General features: G+C 39.8%; 2 protein-coding genes across 36 annotated transcripts in view; one reads left to right on the top strand and one right to left on the bottom strand.

Moving 5' to 3' along the window:
* FAM227B (family with sequence similarity 227 member B) overlaps nucleotides 1-13,020 on the top strand; it is a 293,849-nt gene extending 280,829 nt beyond the window's left edge. For 16 of the 19 annotated variants that reach the window (XM_047432224.1, XM_047432222.1, XM_047432221.1 and 13 more), the window contains 4 exons: nucleotides 4,494-4,571; nucleotides 5,698-5,772; nucleotides 8,141-8,210; nucleotides 11,315-13,020. In XM_047432224.1, coding sequence (XP_047288180.1) covers nucleotides 4,494-4,571; nucleotides 5,698-5,772; nucleotides 8,141-8,210; nucleotides 11,315-11,422 — 331 coding nt within the window. In that variant the 3' untranslated portion in view covers nucleotides 11,423-13,020. Of the gene's footprint in view, nucleotides 1-4,493; nucleotides 4,572-5,697; nucleotides 5,773-8,140; nucleotides 8,211-11,314 lie in introns of those variants that run through there. The other 3 variants (NM_152647.3, XM_047432225.1, XM_017021995.2) reach the window with 3 other exon arrangements.
* The window catches only part of GALK2 (galactokinase 2), a 211,967-nt gene that overhangs the window by 27,751 nt on the left and 162,461 nt on the right, over nucleotides 1-21,755 (bottom strand). For 5 of the 17 annotated variants that reach the window (NM_001352048.2, XM_047432349.1, NM_001352047.1 and 2 more), the window contains 3 exons: nucleotides 20,185-20,386; nucleotides 11,860-12,038; nucleotides 10,185-11,324 (listed from right to left, as the gene is read on the bottom strand). In NM_001352048.2, coding sequence (NP_001338977.1) covers nucleotides 11,296-11,324; nucleotides 11,860-12,038; nucleotides 20,185-20,386 — 410 coding nt within the window. In that variant the 3' untranslated portion in view covers nucleotides 10,185-11,295. Of the gene's footprint in view, nucleotides 1-8,107; nucleotides 12,039-20,184; nucleotides 20,387-20,873; nucleotides 20,945-21,055; nucleotides 21,102-21,755 lie in introns of those variants that run through there. The other 12 variants (XM_047432347.1, XM_047432348.1, XM_047432351.1 and 9 more) reach the window with 5 other exon arrangements.

The raw sequence follows: 21,755 nt of genomic DNA, 5'->3' as shown, positions 1-21,755 counted from the left end.
CTGGGACCCTCAAGCTTGGTGGGGGGAGGGGTGTCCACCATTGCTGAGGCTTGAGTAGGCAGTTTTACCCGCACAGTGTAAACAAAGCCTCCAGGAAGTTCGAACTGGGTGGAGCCCACCGCAGCTCAGCAAGGCCGCTGCTGCCTCTCTAGATTCATTCCTCTACGGGCAGGGCATCTCTGAAAAAAAGGCACCAGCCCCAATCAGGGACTTATAGATAAAACCCCCACCTACCTGGGACAGAGCACGTGGGGCAAGGGGCGGTTGTAGGCACAGCTTCAGCAAACTTAAACGTCCATACTTGGCAGCTCTAAAGACAGCAGCGGATCTCCCAGCACAGCGTTAGAGCTCTGATAAGGGACAGCCTACCTTCTCAAGTGGGTCCCTGACACCTGGGTATCCTGACTGGGAGGCACCTCCCAGTAGGGGCCAACAGACACCTCCTACAGGAGAGCTCTGGCTGGCATCTGGCGGGTGCCCCTCTGGGACGAAGCTTCCAGAGGAAGGAACAGGCAGCAATCTTTACTGTTGTGCAGCCTCTGCCAGTGATACCCAGGCAAACAGGGTCTGGGGCGGACCTACAGCAGACCTGCAGCAGAGGGGCCTGACTGTTAGAAGGAAAACTAACAAACAGAAAGGAATAATATCAACATCAACAAAAAGGATGTCCACTCAGAGACCCCATCCAAAGGTCACCAACTTCAAAGGCCAAAGGTACATAAATCCATGAAGATGGGGAGAAACCAGCGCAAAAAGACTGAAAATTCCAAAAACCAGAATGCCTCTTCTCTGCTAAAGAATCACAACTCCTTGCCAGCAAGGGAACAAAACTGGACAGAGAATAAGTTTGACAAACTGACAGAAGTAGGCTTCAGAAGGTGGGTAATAACAAACTCCTGCGAGCTAAAGGAGTTATGTTCTGACCCAATGCAAGCAAGCTAAGAACCTTGAAAAAAGGTTAGATGAATTGCTAACTAGGATAACCAGTTTAGAGAAGAACATAAGTGACCTGACGGAGCTGAAAAACACAGCATGAGAACTTCGTGAAGCATACACAAGTATCAATAGCTGAATTGATCAAGCGGTAGAAAGGATATCAGAGACTGAAAATCAACTCAATGAAGTAAAGCAAGAAGACAAGATTAGAGAAAAAAAGAATGAAAAGAAACGAACAAAGCCTCCAACAAATATGGGACTATGTGAAAAGACCAAATCTACAATTGATTGGTGTACCTGAAAGTGATGGAGAGTATGGAACCAAGTTGGAAAACACTCTTCAGGATATTATCCAGGAGAACTTCCCCAACCTAGCAAGGCAGGCCAACATTCAAATTCAGGAAATACAGAGAACACCACAAAGATACTCCTCAAAAAGAGCAACCCCAAGACACATAATTGTCAGATTCACCAAGGTTGAAATGAAGGAAAAAATGTTAAGGGCAGCCAGAGAGAAAGGTTGGGTTACCCACAAAGGGAAGCCCACCAGACTAACAGCGGATCTCTCTGCAGAAACCCTACAAACCAGAAGAGATTGGGAGCCAATATTCAACATTCTTAAAGAAAAGAATTTTCAACCCAGAATTTCATATCCAGCCAAACTAAGCTTCATAAGTGAAGGAGAAATAAAATCTTTACAGACAAGGAAATGCTGAGAGATTTTGTCACCACCAGGCCTGCCCTCCAAGAGCTGAAAGAAGCACTAAACATGGAAAGGAACAACCGGTACCAGGCACTGCAAAAACATACCAAATTGTAAAGACCATCAATGCTATAAAGAAACTACATAATTAACGGGCAAAACAACCAGATAGCATCATAATGGCAGGATCCAGTTCACACATAACAATATTAACCTTAAATGTAAATGGGCTAAATGCCCCCAATTAAAAGACACAACAATGGAAGACAATGTGGCAATTCCTCAAGGCTCTAGAATGAGAAATACCATTTGACCCAGCAATCCCATTACTGGGTATATACACAAAGGATTATAAATCATTCTACTATAAAGACACATGCACACGTATGTTTATTGCGGCAGTGTTCACAATAGCGAAGACTTGGAACCAACCCAAATGTCCATCAGTGATAGACTGGATAAAGAAAATGTGGCACATACACACCATGGAATACTATGCAGCCATAAAAAACATTGCAGGGACATGGATGAAGCTGGAAACCATCATTCTCAGCAAACTAACACAAGAACAGAAAACCAAACATTGCATGTTCTCACTCATAAGTGGGAATTGAACAATGAGAACACATGGATTCAGGGACAGGAACATCAGGGGGCCTGTTGAGGGGGTGGGGCTGTGGGAGGGATAGCATTAGGAGAAATACCTAATGTAGATGACAGGTTGATGAGTGCAGCAAACCACCATGGCACATGTATACCTATGTAACAAACCTGCATGTTCTGCACATGTATCCCAGAACTTAAAGTATAATACTAAAAAAAAAAAAAAAAAAAAAAAAAAAGTGGGTAAATGATATGAACAGACATTGCAAGTGTCCAACAAACATATGCAAAAATGCTTAGCATCACTCGTCAGCAGAGAAATGCAAACGAAAACCACAATGAGATATCATCTCACTCCAGTCAGGATGACTATTATTAAAAAGTCAAAAAACAATAGATGCTGATGGGGCTGCAGAGAAAAGGAAAGCTTATACATTGTTGGTGGGAACGTAAATTAGTTCAGCCACTGTCAAAAGTAGTTGAGATTTCTCAAAGAACTTAAAACAGAACTACCGTTCAACCCAGCAGTCCCATTACTGGGTATATACTCAAAAGAAAAATAAATTATTCCACCAAAAAGACATATGTACTCATATGTTCATTGCAGCACTATTCACAATAGCAAAGACATGGAATCAACGTAGATCCCCATCAACAGCAGACTGGATAAAGAAAATGTGGTACATATACACCATGGAATTCTACATAGTCATAAATAAAGGACAAACTCATGTCCTTTGCAGCAACATGAATGCAGATGGAGGCCATTATCCTAAGTAAATAACACCAAATACCACATGTTCTAACTGTAAGTGGGAGCTAAATATTGGGTACTCATGGACATAAACGTGTCAACAATAGACACTGCATACTGTAAGAGAAGGGAAGGGAGGGGAGCAAGTGTTGAAAAACTATCTATCATGTTCTGTGCTCACTACCTGGATGACAGGATCATTCAGACCCCAAACCTCAATATCGTGAAATATACCCATGTATCAAACCTGCCCATGTAACCCCTGGATCTAAAATAAAAGTTGAAATTATTTTTTAGAAAGTACTTACCAAGGGAAAAATAAATAAATTATTTAAATAAATTGAATAAAATACTTAGTGAAAAATAAATAAAATGAGCATCAGGAACAGCCTTGAAATGGAAAATAAAGTTTTCTAAAAATGGGCAAACTATATTCAGAGAAAGGTAATACTGAAGTTTGTTTCACAATGGGAGTGGGGCTGTAAGAGGACAGTTCATCCCCTATATCTTAGTGATGGCAGAGGTTTAAGAGCTCCTAGTGTAACACTGAGGCTAAGGTCTTCATTTAACACAAGCTGAGGAGCTGTCTCCTTGCTAATATTGGCCAATACTGGCCAATTGCCACTTCAAAGGGAAGTGTCTGTTTTGCCAGATCAGGCATGGGTTAAGGCCAAGGTTAGGACATATCCACAGACTGCACCAGAAACAGACAGGACAGAGGAATCCAGCTTCATTAGCAACATACTTGGACATTCTGATTACCACCTTTCTTCTGGGAAGATGGCAGAAGCCAGGCTAACTGAGGCAGCCACGCATGCTGCCAGTTGCCCCCAAAGCCTCTTAGAATTAAAGAGTCTTTAAGGTTCTCAGTATATGTAAAAATGAAAGCTGGGTGTGGTGGCTCACACCTGTAATCCCAATACTTTGGGAGGCCAAGGCAGGAGGATTGCTAGAGCCCAGGAGTTTGAAGTTCAAGACCAGTCTGGGCAAGATAGCGAGAAACTGTCTACTACTCAGGAAGCTGAGGCAGGAGGATTCCTTTGAGCCCAGGAGTTTGAGGTCACAGTGAACTATGATCATGTTACCACACTCCAGCCTGGGTGACAAAGCAAGACCCTGTCTCGAAAATGAATAAATAAGAAAAAAATGAATTTTGGTACATTTTTAATATTTTGGTAATTTTTAATATTTACCTTTAACAAGTTGCTGCTTTTAAAACAAACACATACAAAAGGTAATTACAGGATTTATGAAACTATTAAATCATAGTGCCCTATGGTTGCTGTGGTTGAGATAATGGGACACAAGTTTAAAGTGATGTTTTCTTCTTTCAGTCCTCTGAGTGTAACTCCAGACATAATATTCATGTTTATACTTGAGACTCTTCATTACTGAAAAGTGAAGGTCACACGGTCCCCTTGGTTCCTCTGTGAAGGGTACTGTTTACTTCCCAAATGTTCCTAATTGAAAATCATTCCTTAATAATAAGCCTAGCACACTACCTGCTCCAACATACCGTGATGTTATAAAGGAGGCAAAAAGACAATTTGCAAGGAACCAAAAGGATTTTAGGATGTAAGTTGATGCTATACTATTGTTAAATATAAAATAATACTTTTTTAGAACTGGAAACAATCAGAGAAATCATCTAAACTAAGTTCCTTAATGATGAGGAGAGTCATGTCTGAGCATCTTATAGACTCAGAGATTCTTTTCAGGTAAGTGTCAAGGGTGTATGTTGTAACCATGGAGCCATGGCAAGTGAGAGGGACAGAAGAAAGGAAGGAAGCTTTGCTTGGTGTGACTGGAGGGGTGCACCCCAACAGGAAGAGGCAAGAGCTCCAGGGAATGGAGACTGGAGTATCGTCCATTTACAAAGATAAGCCCTGGAAGACTAGCAGAAAAATTCCCTGCAGTGGAAGGAATTCCCTGGAGCTGGGGTGGCAGCTGGGCTGGTGTCAAGCAAGGAAATCAAGACAGCAAAGTCCTTCCTGAAATGTTTTCTTGGGGGAACATTTGCAGTTATTCATAATAATTTATAAAATAATTGCTTGTGGTCAGTCATGGTAATCTTATGTGCTAGGAAGCTAGGAATGGGTTAATGAGAGAATATCCATCAATTTTTACAAGAACAAATGGGCAGGGTCCAGTTCTTCTATCCATGCTGTCAAGGTTACTGCCTTGAGATGTCATTGCCTTTAAGGGGAGAAAGGATGATCCTCCCTTTTGGGTGCCTCCTGCTGTCCAAGGAGCACCTCCAAGAGAAGTAAATGGAGGACCACCAGTTATGTCCTATCCAGCGGGCAGATCTAAAAGCCTGCGCCCCTGCTTTCCAAGGGTCCCCATTCCCGTCTCCTGCCCACCCACCCACAGACGCATGTGTACGTCCACACACACATATCCCTTAGACTTCCTGTGCTTAGTGGGAAAAACGGATGGACACCTTTCTAGAGGGCCCCTGTGGTAGCAGAAGGTGGAGTCCAGCTGTACTCAGGTGTTGTGGGTGATACCTTTGGCATATGTTTGTAACAGGGAATGTGCTGAGGGGTTCTTTACACTAAATAGTGCATAGGGAGGGAATGAATTGGTTTGTAGAGGGCTTTTACTAACACGTGTATATCAGTAAATTGTTGATTTATTCTTTCCCAATTAGTAATGCCTGCATTATTTTAAAATTTAACTTCAAACTTTAACTTTATAGGGAAAAGCTCAGAATTAATGAAGAAATAAAACTTCTAAAACAGCAGCAGGAAAGAATTGACAAGGAGCTTGATAGGTTTGTCTCTTATTCAGCTTGGTAGTGCTTAAGATCATCTTTAATTGAAGAGATGTTACATAAAACCACAAAACTGCAAAAGTTTTCTAGTTAACAGTTAATCTGGAGTAACATTTTAACTTTCTTTAATCACAAAATCATCTACTCTGCTAATTAATTGCTAAACATTATCATCATCTATTTTTACTCTCCAGCCATAGGACTTAAGCTCAAGTCCTTTTCAAAATAAACCTATAAGCCTTCCCCATCCTATGGAAGTTGTAAACTAGAAAAACAACAGATTTAGCTGGTCTCTATTGGGCTAGTTTTTTATTTCCCTTCTTCCTCTATGCATATAAACATTTTTCCTCAATGAAGCAAGAAAAATTGGGCTCATTTATTTTATAAATTAAACTATAGGAAGAACAACTATAAAGTATTGAGATTAACCTACTTCTTCCAACACACCCGTAAGCACGTGCAGAATAAGAAGTATCAGACAAGTTCAGCCCTTCAGACAAGCCCCCTAGGGAGACTATAACTTTGTGCCAGTCACACTTCACACTTCTAAATACTATTTTAGAACTTATAAAGCTAGTTTTCCAGTCACATCAGAAAATTTCAACCCACTACTTTAGGATCTTATCTCACTTTTCACCAAAAACTTTATCACCCAGCTTTCTGCTTCACAACACCTGTTACAAGGTTCCATTCCGGGTGACTCTTACAAGTTTCCAAAAATCAAATCCACATAGGACAAGAATTTTCACCACTGAGAATATGCAGAAGAATGTAGGACAATTCTCAGAGTAACTCACAAGAAGTATTCAAATATGATTAATGCAATGGCACATTGTTGAAACATACATATTTGGATATATAAATCTCACGTGCTTGTTAAAGTTATAGGCACAATGTATGAGCTTCCATTTGTAATCTTCAAAAGAGATACTCATGAGAGGAAAGGCAATCAGAAAGAGGGAGGATTAGTAATGTTATAAAACTTCATGAATGTACTAAAACCACTGAACTGTACACTTTAATGGGTCAATTTTATGGTATGTAACATATCTCAATAAAACTTAATTTTTTTTAAAGAGGGGAGATTGTAAACTAAAAGAGTGACTTGGAAGAGGGAGTGATTTTAACTTAGTGAGATGAGACAGATTCTAAGGATACTGTGCAGTTCAAGGAGATTCTAAGAAGGTGTTACTGAGAAACTAAGAGCCAGATTTGAGACTGGCATGGAAGGAAAAATGTGAAGCCTAAAGAGCAATCAGCAAGGAGGAAACTCAGCTTGAGAAGACAAAACAAGCAGAGAGAGAATGAGTGAGGGGGCATGTACCAGTCACAGAGCACAAATGCAAGAGAACCTCCGACTAAGTAATCCCACTCTGCCTTCAGGGGTGCACTAGTCTAACTGCTGAAGAAACCTTGGCTAGGCCTGGCAAGGGGTTAAATAGCTCATCTAAACTTGCTGCTTCAGCAACATGTATTTGGGATTTGCAGAAAATTTTACTTCCTGCCAATTTCATGGAAAAATAGTTTTTAAATATTTCACTTGAAAATTGCCAGTGAAATTAATAGTCTTATATATCCTTTATTCCGTTTCTCTTCCTCATCTGTGTTACTTTTACTAATGTTTCTCCTTCTCTCAAGTTTCTATCCTTCCTTGCCTAGCTACCATTGCTTCTCCCCTCATTCTTAGATCTCTGGAAAGGTTCCTGCTGCTTCCTGATTTCAACCATTCAAGTCCTTCATAAATATTTCTTGAATGAATACTTGGTGACAGATATCATGAGATTCCTGGATCCCTGCTCACAATGAGCTTACAGTCTAGTAAGCGCTGTCACCCACTGGCCTTTTCCATCTCCCTCTCTTTCTTTCCTGTGTCTCTACCTTGCCAGTCTCTTTTACTCTTCTCTCCCCACTGTCACTCCTTAAAGTCTGGGCTAGAGCCTTATGAGTGGAATCAGTTAAAGCAATACTGTGTAAACCATCTAACTGAAGAGGATGTGCCACTGCTGGGATGAGAACCACACAGTGGGTGGAACTGAAGGCTTGAGTCACAGTGCTTGGGTTCAGACTGTCTCCTTGCTAAGTGTATGACTGTTGTGGATGTGTGTGTGTGTGTGTGTGTGTGTGTGTGTGGCACGTGTGCACATGCAGCGGGGGTGGGTGTCTGAACCTATCTCAGCCTGTTTCCTCATTTATAAAATAGGATAATAGGAGTACCTACTTCAGAAGTTTTAAGGGTAATTGAATTAATATATGTAAAGTGCTTGACGAATGCCCAGCATATTAAATTCTTAATAAATGTTGGCTATTTAGATGGTGTCAATATAAGGACAATTAGTTTGGTTACTGATTTTCTTTATTCCATGATTAGACTCCAAGCAAAGGCTACCAAGAAACCTCATGAAGTGAAACAGGACTTTGAGAAGTTCCTACATAAACTGGTAGGTTTTCTTTCTGAAAATAATTGAGAATTCTCTCTCTAGCTTCTTTTATATAGACTGGACAATATTTCATAAGCAATGTATGGTGGCACACCCAAATTACAGTGGCAGGAGAGGATACATTCTTGTTACTTAATCATCTACATGCACATGTAAGAAAATCTGTTTTACATATTTAGTGACAACTCATGTTCACATTCCCCATTTCCAGCTTCTGACCAGGAACAGTTTATGTAACTGAAAAGCTCCAAATGCAGTTAGAATTACAAACTAATAATCACTGATGTTTAAAATTGTAAGTTTTTCATTAATAATTCAACAAAATCATATTGGGTACCAACAGCTGTGTTAGATGAATGGTCCCTGCCCTCAATTATCAAGGCAGAATATGATAAGGTTCTAAACAGGACTCAAGTATGAGAAAGAAAGAAAAGAAAGGAGCCTGTTCCATCTTTCTGATTTTCCTTGTCATCTTCTCTTTTGCTTCTCTTTACTTATGGGCATTCTTGTTAAGTCTGAAGGGCTTCTTCTCTCCCAACAGACAAGAACATGTAGAGACTAGTGTACAATATGTCTGAATGCTGGACAATTGGAGGTCAGGGATAGAGGAGAGCCTTTTACTTTCAGCATGTCAAGGCTTCCATTCAAAAATCTAGAGCAATCCCATTGGCTGCTAGTATAATGTCAAAAATGGATCAAATCAAATTCCTACATGGGGCAGAAAAGTGATAGAAAGAGTGAAACACCTGGGTGTTGTATAATATACAAACAGGACAGTATAATAAGCAAACAGGACTATTCATTTTTGTTGTTGTTGTTGAAACAGGGTCTCACTCTGTCACCTGTCTCCCAGGCTGGAGTGCAGTGCTGCAGTCATGGCTCACTGTAGCTTTGAAGTCCTCAGCTCAAGTGATCCTCCTGCCTCAGCCTCCTGAGTAGCTGGGACAGCAGGCACATGCCACCACTCCCAGCTAAGGACTATTTTTTACATCCACACACAAAAATATTCATTCTTTCTCTCTTTTTTTTTTTTTTTGGTCTATCTTCCCTACTATTGATAGGGACATGGGCACAGAGAAATACCTAATTAGAATAGGAAAACAACAGTGCAAGTGTCCTGATAAAGGGCAAGTGACCTCAGCTGGTAAGTGGTAAATGATTTGAGTGTCAGGGAAACTATTATACAAGCAGTTGTGGAAACTGTAGCGCACTGGATAGCCATGCCTCATCTAACAAGGCAGCTACTATCTCAGCCCTAGTTCATTGATGCCCTGTAGAAATGTTGGACAAGTAGTATCAGATATTCCACCACTCAGTAATCCAGATTCTGAGTAATCCAGAATATCTGATACTGCTTGTACAATCTCCTGATTTGGAGCCCAAGTTTTTAGTCATTCTGTGGGCCAAACTATATACATCTGCAGACCAGATGTGGCCCATGGGCTGCTGGGCTATAACCCCTGATCTAAATGCTGCCTGGATTTGACTCTTCAAAAGCTAGCTCCAGCCAGTGTAGTCAATCTTATTCTTCACTACATACCAAAGCAAAGCCTTCACTCTCACTGAGCCTCCTACACACACCATGTTTGCCTATACCCATAGGCTTTGCTCATCTGCAGTGTGCACTCCACAGCTTTTAAACTCTACTCATCTTTTAGGGCCATGCTCAAAGTCCATTTACTGCATGATCTTTTTTCTAATGGCCCCGGCCCTATCCCTTCCAGGTAAGTTTAGCATCTCTCATAATATCTAGATACCACACAGTGATAGTAAGACTGAAACATAGTTCTTTTTATCGAGAGAAATCAAAACAAATATAGAATAGATCCCTCGCTTAGAATGACCATGTGTGTCCCCCAAAGAAGAGTGCACATTGGAAATTTTTACTCACCTTTTGTGAAGAAGAAATCACCTGGTGAAAATTGTAAATGGAACAGCAAAACAATGACAGGTGCCTTTTTTTTTTTTTTTTTACACTGATCCAGGTATCTTTAAAGAATTATATACCAACCACAAATCCTTTGTGGAAAATGGCACGGTATTAAAAAATAAAGGATTATAAATTTAAATAAATTCAGGTTTCAGATTTTTGGATTTATAGAACTCAAAATTCTTTTAACAAATTTGACTCAAGCTTTCTCAAGCATTTACCTTTCTGCTAAGAATGAAAATGCATCAGAAGTTTATTTTTAAATAGAATATTGGCTTTCCTAGTATTCTATGTATGACTGTTATCCTTTAAGAAATAAAACTAGCTTTGCGCAGGCCTCCCTTAAACTGAAATTCTAGATGGTGATGCCCAATCTGTGAGTTAAACATTAATGAGCTAATGAAATCACAGAATAATAAGTAATTCTGATATTTTTTTGGATAATTCATGCCATAAAACCATTGCTATCTCAATTACCTGAGTATTTCAGCAAAATACTTTTTGGTCCAAATCATTACATAATTCAGAAAGTGCTTCCTATAGTCCATCCACAAGAGAAAGCCAGTCATTTGCCATCACCAGCCAAACATTTCTGCCCACTCTTGATATACATACAGAGATACCCATCAATACCATTACAAATCCCAGAATTCATTAAGTCTTTTCATAGTCACTTTCACCCACATACCTGCATACCTGCTTTACAATGGGGTGCATATATACAAACAAGCTTTGCTAGACAAGCAAAAAAGGGATATAAGGAATGTGTGGAATTTCTTGGAAGTGCCTCTTGGATTAGAGAGGTATTTGAGAAAAAGTAGTAGAAAAAGAGTGATAAGAAAGTAATTCTATGAACAAACTGAATTATCTGAATTATCATCTAGATAATTCTTTATTTCAATGTGAATAGAAGAGTCTTAAAGTGTTTTTTATCTAAGTTTTTCTATTAAGTAATGGAGATAGCTCAGGGCCAAAAGAATTGAAAGTGGTTATTTATATATTACATGGTTTACAAATATTCAAATGAGTCTGAATTTTCTTCCTGTATCCTCCTTTTGTCAAAAAAAAAAAAAAATCCTTAGTCTCTTGATAACTGGAGAAATCTCACATTCAAATTCAATTATACAATGTCCAAGAAGATCTGTGAAACTTTAATCATGTATTATTTTCATAGCGTTCCGAAGCTGAAATTGAGAGAGAATGTGTGGCATCACTATCGTCATCATCATCATCATCACCATCATCAACAGACAACTACAACTTTGAGGAAGAAGAATACTAAGAGAAACCAGAAATGAACTCTATTCAAGAATAATGCATACAATTCAGTGGTATCAGTTTAATTGTAACAATATATTTAATTCAAGTCCAATCCATGTAATCAGTATTAAGAGTGTGTTTTACCATTCATCTTTAAAATCTTCAAATCAATAAATCTCAGTAAGTTATTCTTAAAAGATCTGTCCAAGCATGATCTTGGCTCTTAATAGTAAAACCATATTTTAAGATGGAAAAAGAATCATTATGAAGCATAGAGAGCTTTCAACCATTTCTTTGAAAATATATCTTGATATAATAGCAACCGTTCATCATAATACAAAACAGAAGGAAGATTAATTTACTGTGGCACAGAAAGTCCTGCCAATTCCTAAGTGCCCTAAGTAGTTTCTCTCAGACTTTTTACATTTTTTCAGGCCTCAAGCAAAACCAAAGCCCCACCTCCAGGTTTGGTAGCAAACAAACTTTGCTTCTCCGGTGCTAAGCTTCCATCACTCCTCTGGTAATAAGCTTTGTGCACATTTGCTAGAAAGCTGGGCAGCTTGTCCGCAGGTACCATTGATACTGTGCAGCCTCCCCATCCTGCTCCAGTAAGTCGTGACCCTTGAGCCCCAAACTTCCTAAAACAGTGAGGAAAAAAATATTAGAACCTATAAATGAAAATACAAGGGATTTGCTTGGTGTTTGTAGAACACATAGCCTATCTAAGTTCTAAGAAGAAAATACATGCGGGGTTTTTAGGTGTCATCAAACATTTTAGGACATTAAGACATTTATACTGTTTCAGAGAGTGATTTGGAATTTTTTCATTGTATCTAAATCTAGTCCCTGGTTTTGACTCCAAGTGGTAAGTCAACAGTACTCCTCCCATTTCATGACTGGCAATAACCCACTGTAATATTGATTCCATAAAGTAGCCACTTGAAGAGTTGTATAGCAAGCTTACACGTAAATCAGGAAGGAGGCGTTAAGATAAAACAGGCAATGGTAAAAGAAATGTAGGCAACCCTGAATCAGAAGGTCACTCCAAATGAGGACAAATCAAAATTTAAAATGTACAGTCTTATACAAGTTTTCCCCAATGGCTATTTCAGCTGCATTCTTAAGGCCGGGCTGTTTCAAAGAAGAATCAGTCCCCTAGAACAGATAGCCTAGTTCACTGAATAAACTTATCAACAAAAAGCGTGTTATTAAACTCCAGGTTGGGTCGGTGGTTGGTTGAATCTCTAATGGAAAATTAACCAAGCCTTTCCACAAAGCAGAGGGCAGTCCCTAGAGGTCCACACCACCTTCCCTGTGCCTTCTGGAGCTAGTCTGATTATTGGACTCAGAAGTTGACATCAGATGAGATATATCTGATTGGGATGACAACAACTATATAAAGGACCACACAGCTAGAGTTAATTTTAGTTACTGTAAACCAGGCACAGTTTCAAACCTAAGATTTCAACCAAAGTGAAAGGCCCTATCACAATGTACACAGATCACTTAGCTTTAAAAGATGCAATTTATCCTGACACGAAAGTTAACATGTACTTACAATTAATTCTTCTTAATAAAATTCACTCCAAATTACTAGTGGATTAAAGGCTCTATGATTAATTTAGCACAATTTTGTCTCTTTTTTTCAATCTAAATGAGATATTTTACTTCCTGGACATATCAATAGAATACTACCTCTACTCTAGAACATCAGAATTACTGCATGTCAGTAATTGATTTTCCTGTCAGTGATTCTTCTCAGTTGATTTCTTTTTATCATCTGCTTTATTATATATATTAAAATACGCTTTTCAAATGAACATAGGTATTTAAGAAAGAAAAAAAATGCTTACAAACAAATAAACATCACTGATCTCCTCCTATCCCTTTAACATTCAATTTATGGCCCAGTGACTAAGCCTGAAATCCCATCATCCAGGCTAAAAAATTTCTCTGACCTTGGGATCCTTGGATTATTCTAAATTTCTAGGTTGGCAAAGGGCCTGTTTGCAGTTTGTTGGATTTAAAAAATGGTTGTCATGCCGGGTGCAGTGGCTCACGCCTGTAATCCCAGCACTTTGGGAGGCCAAGGCAGGCAGATCATGAAGTCAGGAGTTTGAGACCAGCCTGACCAACATGGTGAAACCCCGTCTCTACTAAAAATACAAAAATTAGCCGGGTGCACACCTGTAATCCCAGCTACTCAGGAGGCTGAAGCAGAGAACTGCTTGAACCCAGGAGGTGGAGGTTGCAGTGAGCCGAGATTGCACCGCTGCACTCCAGCCTGCGTGACACAGTGAGACTCCATCTCAAAAAAAAAAAAAAAAAAAAAAATGGTTGTCATATGCAGTCGTATCAAACTCTTACTGTGGAAGATGCTGGGGAAAACTGAGGTGTCACTGAAGTGTCTCTGGAAGACCCTAAAATATGGGCATTAAAGCCAGCCATGACATGGTCTAGAGAAGAATACTGTGCCTTCTTACTTGATTTTCTAAGATCTAAAATATGCCGTTTTGCTGGACTCAAGTTATCAAGTCTTTAAGGGTCCTCAATCCAACTTCTAAAAGGCATATTTTATTATACTTTCTCATTTGAACAGTTTTTGAAAGCTGTGGTTTTTCAAAATTGAACCTAAAGCAAACAGAGTATTATTTTTAATCTGGCTGTAAAACCTATAGGAACTGGGCCAGAGGTCTATTTTCCTGAGACTTTTACTAGTTTCCAGGGAGCAGAAGCTGGAAGTCTTTGTAGGTAAAGATATTTGCTACTGAGTCTCCAGAGCTGCTCTGTCACCACCCTGCCTGCTACAGATGAAAATGGACTGAATTGCATCAATCACATGGTCTGAAATCAGGGCTCAAATTTCCCAAATAAAGAATGATAAGTGCTATTAGAAATAGCCTTCTGCCCCCAAGTCAGTGGCACATCTGATCACAAGTCAGGGCTGCCCCAGCAGCTGGTCAGCAGCCTGCGCAGCTGTATACACTTATAAAGGCAGAAAGGTCTGTCTGCAGTGTTCCCTGCTGGTACTTAATAGGCCCTTTGGCATATGCCATAGAAATTCTGAGAAGACCGAAAGTTAGGAGACCGATATACCCTTTAAATTAAGAAAGAAAAGTAAGTGAACCAAGGGTGTTTAGTGAACTTTTCATGTTTGCGCCTTTTTCTGGAAGAACAATAAAACATTAAAAATATATCTCCTGAGCTATTGCACATCAGAGAGGCAATACAAGAATTACAAAAACCAAAACCCTAAAATCCCTCGGATCCCACTTTGATGATTGTGATGACTAGATTGGGAATAATGTAGAAGGGTTTGTTAAAGCAACAAAGGCAGCCTCTACTTTATAAAGCACGATGGCAAAGGCTAGGGCAGATGAGGGATGGAGATTATGAGGAATGTTACTCTTTGATCCTTGTGTATTCACAGAATTAACTATCCAGGCACCCAATATAGCCAAAGTCAAATTTCCTACTTTTAAGTGAACTAATTCGACCATAAAGCACTTACTAAGTTGCAAGATACAGAGCAATGGAGAGGGTGGGGAGGAGATCCAGGAGACCCAACTGCACTACACACTTGAAAAAGAGGGAAGGTAAGAAATTATGCCTTGTATTTAAATTCTGTGTCATTTCTTTCTAAATAAGTAAATATATATTATACAAATGGATATGAAATAAATTATTTCAGGAAATCTAGAATTTAGGAACAGGTCACATCCATCTCTCTGACCCCAGCCCAGCACAATTCTAGAAATTCTAGGTTCTAATAAATGGCTGCTGGACTACGATATTTCCCTTAAAATATTTTAAAAATTATATATAATATAAGCAGTCAGCAGTGTATTTTTTTACTTGAGAAGACTTCTAGCTTCTGCTCTCTGGGAAATGGCAAGAGTCACAGGTAAGGGAACTTCTAGCAGTTTCTATGATTTTTACAGCCAGGTTAGACACCGTGCCTTCAAATTGCTTTACAGTCAAGAAACCACAGCCTTCAGTGTTCAAATGAGAAAGGATAAGAAAATATGCCCACATGTCTACTTTAGAAATGTAAGCCACTTAAAGGCCATTGAAGAGCAGTGGGTTTGGGTCCTGCAAATGGCATGTATATTCATAAGTCAAAGAGGCCCAAAGAGAAGTGAACCCCTAAGGGGAGGTGAAATGGCTCCCTCCCTCTTTTTTTTTTTTTGACAGGGTATGCATGTTAGCACTTAAGGTCATGGGGAAAGAGCATGCAACAATGGATTTGCACTTCATTCTTCCCCATTATGACCTTGTTGAAGAATGGATGCGAGAGGCTGAGCAGCCTCACCATGGAATACATTGCAGAAAGACTTCTGAGGAAGACAAAGTAAATTAACTTTTGTAATCATAGTTGATCCACTAAAATTTGTCATTCATCTCCCTTAATAGCTTGGGCGATAATGCAGCAATTAATCCTCTCTAACTTCAACAAGTGTCAAAACAAAAACAAAAGGCATTAACCATTTTGTCTTAAGTAAAACGAGGGAACCAATAGTGAATGAGCTGTCTCACATATAACTGACTTGGTTTCAAAATTGTTTTGTGTTCTCCAGTAAATTCTACTTAAAATTTAGTCATTTCTTTCTGTTTACATTTTGTTTGGCTACAAAAGATACTTTATAATTCAGCAAACATTATCTTTTTCCTTCATTATTTACTTTGTTTCATATAATTTAAGTTCTAACATTAATTTAATTTTTTAAAAAAGCCTCACTCTGTAAGTATAGTTTCCTTCATCCTCCCTGCTCCTTTCTTTAGATTCTAAACTGATTTTCTCTTGAAGAGCAGGAAAAGGTTCAACTGAAAAAGACAGCTAGCAGTGGTGCTCTTTCCCAACCCCCCTTCTCTCCACTTGGGTCACAAAGTTGTTCTATACATTGTCCTATATGCTAAGTAGGAGATGCCTTTTTAATTCAGTCTAGCTCAGATCACTGTAAGATTTTCTGCTTGTGTATAGCAACTTAGGTATTCTAGGTATTCAAGCCGTTAATTTACTCACTCAATTAGTTGTCTTTTCATACAAATAGTTTCCAAGAAGCCCTTCAGAAACACTAAAGGAATTTTGAAGTGCCATAAGTGGACCAGGGAGGGTGATGTAAAGATTATTTTTGGCAGTGCTCCTCCTTGAACCCATTTCAGCTTCCCTCCTCCTCCCTCTTTTGGGGAAAACAAGCAACCTGCTCAGGCTGCCCAGTCTTAGTCACACCTTCCCTACTGATGTTAACATTTTTAATGGTGGCAGGGTAATTGTGGAGGTGGTGGTGGTTTTTAAACAAAGCAATACTTTGCTAGAGGTTGTGTCTGTGGCACCAGTGGCTCACACCAGGCCTTGCCAGGACCCCTTCCAGTATGTCCAACACCTTCTCTGCCTGACCCAGTGAGACAGTCACAAGGCTTCAGAAGGAACTAGGGCTTACAAGTAGCTCCACTGTTCATTCGAACCTTTCCCCATGTTACTACCTGCTACTCTTGTACCGTCTGTCTTCCCCATCCTTTATCCATCCTTTATCTTATTCCCACTAATTTCTGCATTCTTCTGAACCCCTCCTTCTTGCCTCATTACTTTCCAGACATCTTTTTTTTTTTTTCTTTTTTTTTTTTTTTTACCTGAGATGGAGTCTTGCTCTGTCCCACAGGCTGGAGGGCAGTGTTGCGATCTCGGCTCACTGCAAGCTCTGCCTCCCGGGTTCACGCCATTCTCCCGCCTCAGCCTCCCGAGTAGCTGGGACTACAGGCGCATGCCGCCACGCTCGGCTAATTTTTTGTATTTTTAATAGAGATGGGGTTTCACCGTGTTAGCCAGGATGATCTCGATCTCCTGACCTCATGATCTGCCCGCCTTGGCCTCCCAAAGTGCTGGGATTACAGGTGTGAGCAATTGGGCCCGGCAAGAGAAAGTCACAGCTTTTGAAAGTAGAGAATAGACTGCAATTTCACACGGTACAAAGATACCCATGTGAAAATATGTATTGATTGAAGGAGGGAAGGACATAATGCCTGCATCAACTTAATTCCCCTGGGGCTATCCTCCTCTGAGGTTGCTCTGCCACTTAGGACCTTTCAGTAACTTGCAGCCAACTGAAACATTTGAAGAATATTATCTGCTGGTCACAGTGACAGCAAAGAAAAAATTAATTATATAAGAAGCTTTAAGGACCAGACAACTATTCTGGCCAACAAGCCAGAAGATAATCTTTCAATATGGAAAACTTGGACCCTATATGGTTATCGAATAAGTAGAAAATAACTTTGATACTTAGCAATTGGCTTTCCAAACAAAACAATCATGAAAAAGTGATGGAGCTCCTGAATTTTTCACAGAACTGAATTTTTCTCAGAAAATAAATACAGCAAATGAAAATGAAACACTTTAGCTGCCATTAAGAAAGGATTTTCCAAAAACAAACAAAATGAAAAGATAAATAAAAGGTACTCTTCCAAACCCATTTAAGACATAGCCATAAGCTTTTTCACTAGAACCATATTTTTTAAATGTATAGGTCTGTAGACTGCTAGAACAGAAAAAGCCAATGGAGAACACAAAGCGAAGCAACAGTTCCAGCTCACAGAGCTCAGAATGAAAAGAGAGTCGGAATCCAAGCTTCCTCACTTCCAGCCCACTTTTCATCCTACTCTACACATTACGTTCCTGCTCAACATGACTTTGCTTAATGTTCAAATGCTGGAAACTATGACAACAAAGGCCTCCATCATAAAGCTTCAAAGCTAGGAGATGAAAATAGGTTACAAACACACACGTACACACACGTATGTATGACCCACATTTAAGTGTAATCACATCTTAGTATAACCCAAGGGGAGAGGCACGTGTGGCAAAATCATTGGATTGGGAGCCAGGCTTTCCAATGAACTCATATGTGAAACTTACTCAAATTATTTCATCTCTTAGTGCCTTCCTGGATCTCTAAGACCCCTTCCTGATCTAATATTTTATGGTACTCTAAGATAACTCTTACCTACAGTGGTGAAGTGTGCTTTTCAAAAATGTGGCTTTTAGAGGCACAAGGAAAGTTTCTCAGGACAAAAACCCAGGAGTCGTCTTGATTTCTCTCTTATACCCACACAGCAATTATCTAAGTCTTCCTTGCAGGCATATTTGGCATAGAATTGCCTAGCATTTCCATTGCCCCCTTTCTCTTCTCAAAGCCAGAAGCCTTCCGATGGCCTACACGGCCTATATGGTGTGGCTCCCCACTTCCTTCCTTACTTCATCTACTACCTCTCCTTCCTTCCTGGCCCTCTGCCATGCTGATCCTGCTGAGCCTCACACCTGACAGCCAAGTATCCACCTCAGGGCCTATGCATTTGCTGTTCTCATTTATTCACCTCCTTCAGGCCTCTGCTCAAAGATCTCTTCGTCAGAGTGACCTTCTTCAACCACTCCACAGAAAGAGTACCCACCCAAACCTGTAGTCTCTATTCCTTCTCATTTTTTTCCATAGCACTTATCACTACCATTCAAATTATTTTTAATTGTCATTTCTCTCTTTCCCCACGAGAATGTAAGCTCCATGAAAACAAGTACAGGTTGACCACTCTAGGAAGAGAAAGTTTATTAGAGAATTCCAGGAAGCTGGCAAATGCCCTTCCGCAGCTTTTCAGGTGGGATTCCAACCATCCCACTTCCTTCCAGGCAAAGACATTTCTTCCTGATCTCTGCAGAAATAATTCCACTTCCTCTTATTTCCAGAACTGAACAATATTTGTCCCTTCCATATACTAGGCCCTTGATATTTTCAGAAAAGGGTACTTAAAATGAAACAAGCTGGGGAAGGCTTTTGGAAATGAGTGAGCAAACATGTCAGCAGAGTGATCTTCATCAATGCTGTGTTCAAGTCTTTTGACAAGCTGGATTACCCAGGCCATTTGTGATCACTGGAGTTACTTGGTTTAAACTTTTCAGGCTGGGAGTGTGGCAATGACTGAGGCAAGCCACAAGTGCCAAGTGGTTAATTACATTTCCATTACTAATTGTAGTGTAGCATTGTGTTCTCACAGTGAAGTAACATCTAGCGTTTGAGAACTTTCCCAGTTTCAGTTCTCCCAGGGTCACTGAGCTCCTTCCTGGGTAAGAGGACTAACTCTGTTATCTCCATTCTTTCACAATTTTAGGAAAGCTGATTTTAGGCTTTGTGAAAGAGTTGTCCTCTTTACATTTCTGCCTCTATTAACCATGTATCACCTGGGCTTTCTTCAGCCTTTATTTCCTCAAACTGCCTAAACTAAACCTAGAAGGCAGGAAATGCTGGCTTTCTGGGTGATTCCTTCAGCAAATCTCCCCACATGCTCCCATCAAGCTTGAGATCCTCTGTCAGTTTTCTCCCTTCTTCTGAGTAGAACTACTAAACTTAATTAGGACACTGGACAGGAGTTTCTGGCAGAGCAGCAGTATAATAAAACATATCATAAGAAAGTTAACAGGGCCCAGCTCTGAGCAAAGTTACCATCCTGAAAGGCCTAATCATCCAAAGACGGAAAGGTCTTTCTCATGATGTAAAGAGCTGACTCCAAACTGACTCCAAACCCAGAGCCTCATAAAATCATGGAGCCAGGTAGCAAATCTTTCATCCTACAGGTATTTAGAAGGGAACAAGTGTAGCTCTGTATCATCAGAGACTCCTCATATAGGAAGTGGGGAATGATCTTCATTCCCGTAGATTATGAAATGTTGCATTTTTTTCCATTAATTTAAACAATATTATTTGATGGCATCCCTTGGCCCCCACCAGGCTGCCTCACCGACAGATGTCCACCAGCTGATCCAGCTCGGGGCAGCTGCACTCATACATGTCCCGGCAGCTCATGTGGCTCTGGTTCATCAACTCTCCCAGCAGCTGGACCATGTTTTCAGGTGCTTCTTCACATATCTTCTTAAACTGGAGCACTCGCGCAGCCTCGCTGTACACATGCTTTGCCCGCTGATAGAGTTTGAAGATGAGCACTGAGGAAGGAAGAGGATGGGGAAGGAGGTTAGGAATAGTTACTGGACAACCCAGTATAAAGAAAAATACACTTTTAAAGACTTTCATTTCTGTTTTCATTATCAGTATCTTAAACTTCAATAGGTCTCTCTTGCTGAAAGGATTCTTTCAATTGAAATGTGTCTATCGGCAAGTCAGGTTTACTTTTTTCTTGATACTGAATAAAATCTTGTAACTATATTTCCTTCACTTCACTCAACACACATGTGCATATACTTGTGTGCAATCTAATCCATCCCAAATGAAGACAGACCTAACATGTAATGAGTACACCCTACATGCCAAACACTTTAAAATACTACTTTGTGTAGGCCAGGCGCGGTAGCTCACATCCGTAATCCCAGCACTTTGGGAGGCCGAGGCAGGTGGATCATCTGAGGTCAGGAGTTCAAGACCAGCCTGACCAACATGGTGAAAACCCATCTCTACTAAAAGTACAAAAATTACCTGGGCATGATGATGGTGGGTGCATGTAATCCCAGCTATTTGAGAGACTGAAGTGGGAGAATTGCTTGAACCTGGGAGGCAGAGGTTGCAGTGAGCTGAGATCACGCCGTTGCACTCCAGCCTGGGCGATAGAGCACGACTCCGTCTCAAAAAAAAAAAAAAGAAAGAAAGAAAAGTACTACCTCATAAAGTTCTCATCACAGCACTGAGGGATGTGCAGTATGATCCCTGTTAACAGAAAAGAGAAGGAGGCTCAATAGAGTGAAGTGACATGCTTAAGGACACACATCCAGAATGTGGCGGAAGCCAAACAGATCAGGGATGCCTGGCCCTAGAGCCATGTTCTTTCCACTCTGCCCCAACAGAAAGGACCACTGGAAATTCTTATGGTGGCAATTTTTTAAATAAAAATATTATATGTCCCAGATAAACACAATTATTTATATGGGATATATAATGTTTATATATGTACCTATATATATATATTGCAGCATTATTTATCATAGAAGAAAATAAGAAACAAATATCTAATAACAGAGGACTTTTAAAAATTATGCTATATTCATTTTTGAAATATTACTGCTATCAAAACTCAGATTCTAAGGCAATTTGATATATAGGAAATTATTCATTATTAAGTGAAAAAACAACCTACAAAACTATATGTACAACTGATACTAATTTTGCATACACATATTTATGTATATTTTAATTTAAAAAACTGATAGGAAAGCACGAAAATGTTAATATTAGTTATCTCTGTGGTCCATTATGGGTGATTTTATTTTCCTTTTGACACATATATGTATTTTCCAGATTACCCACAGTGACACTGTAATTTCAGCTACAGAAACATGGTATATTGCAATGGCTATGTCTATA

Source organism: Homo sapiens, chromosome 15 (assembly GCF_000001405.40).
Source record: "Homo sapiens chromosome 15, GRCh38.p14 Primary Assembly".
Classification (NCBI taxonomy): domain Eukaryota; kingdom Metazoa; phylum Chordata; class Mammalia; order Primates; family Hominidae; genus Homo; species Homo sapiens.
Note: the sequence above shows the minus strand (reverse complement) of the source record. Positions and strands in the feature narration are given on the sequence as shown.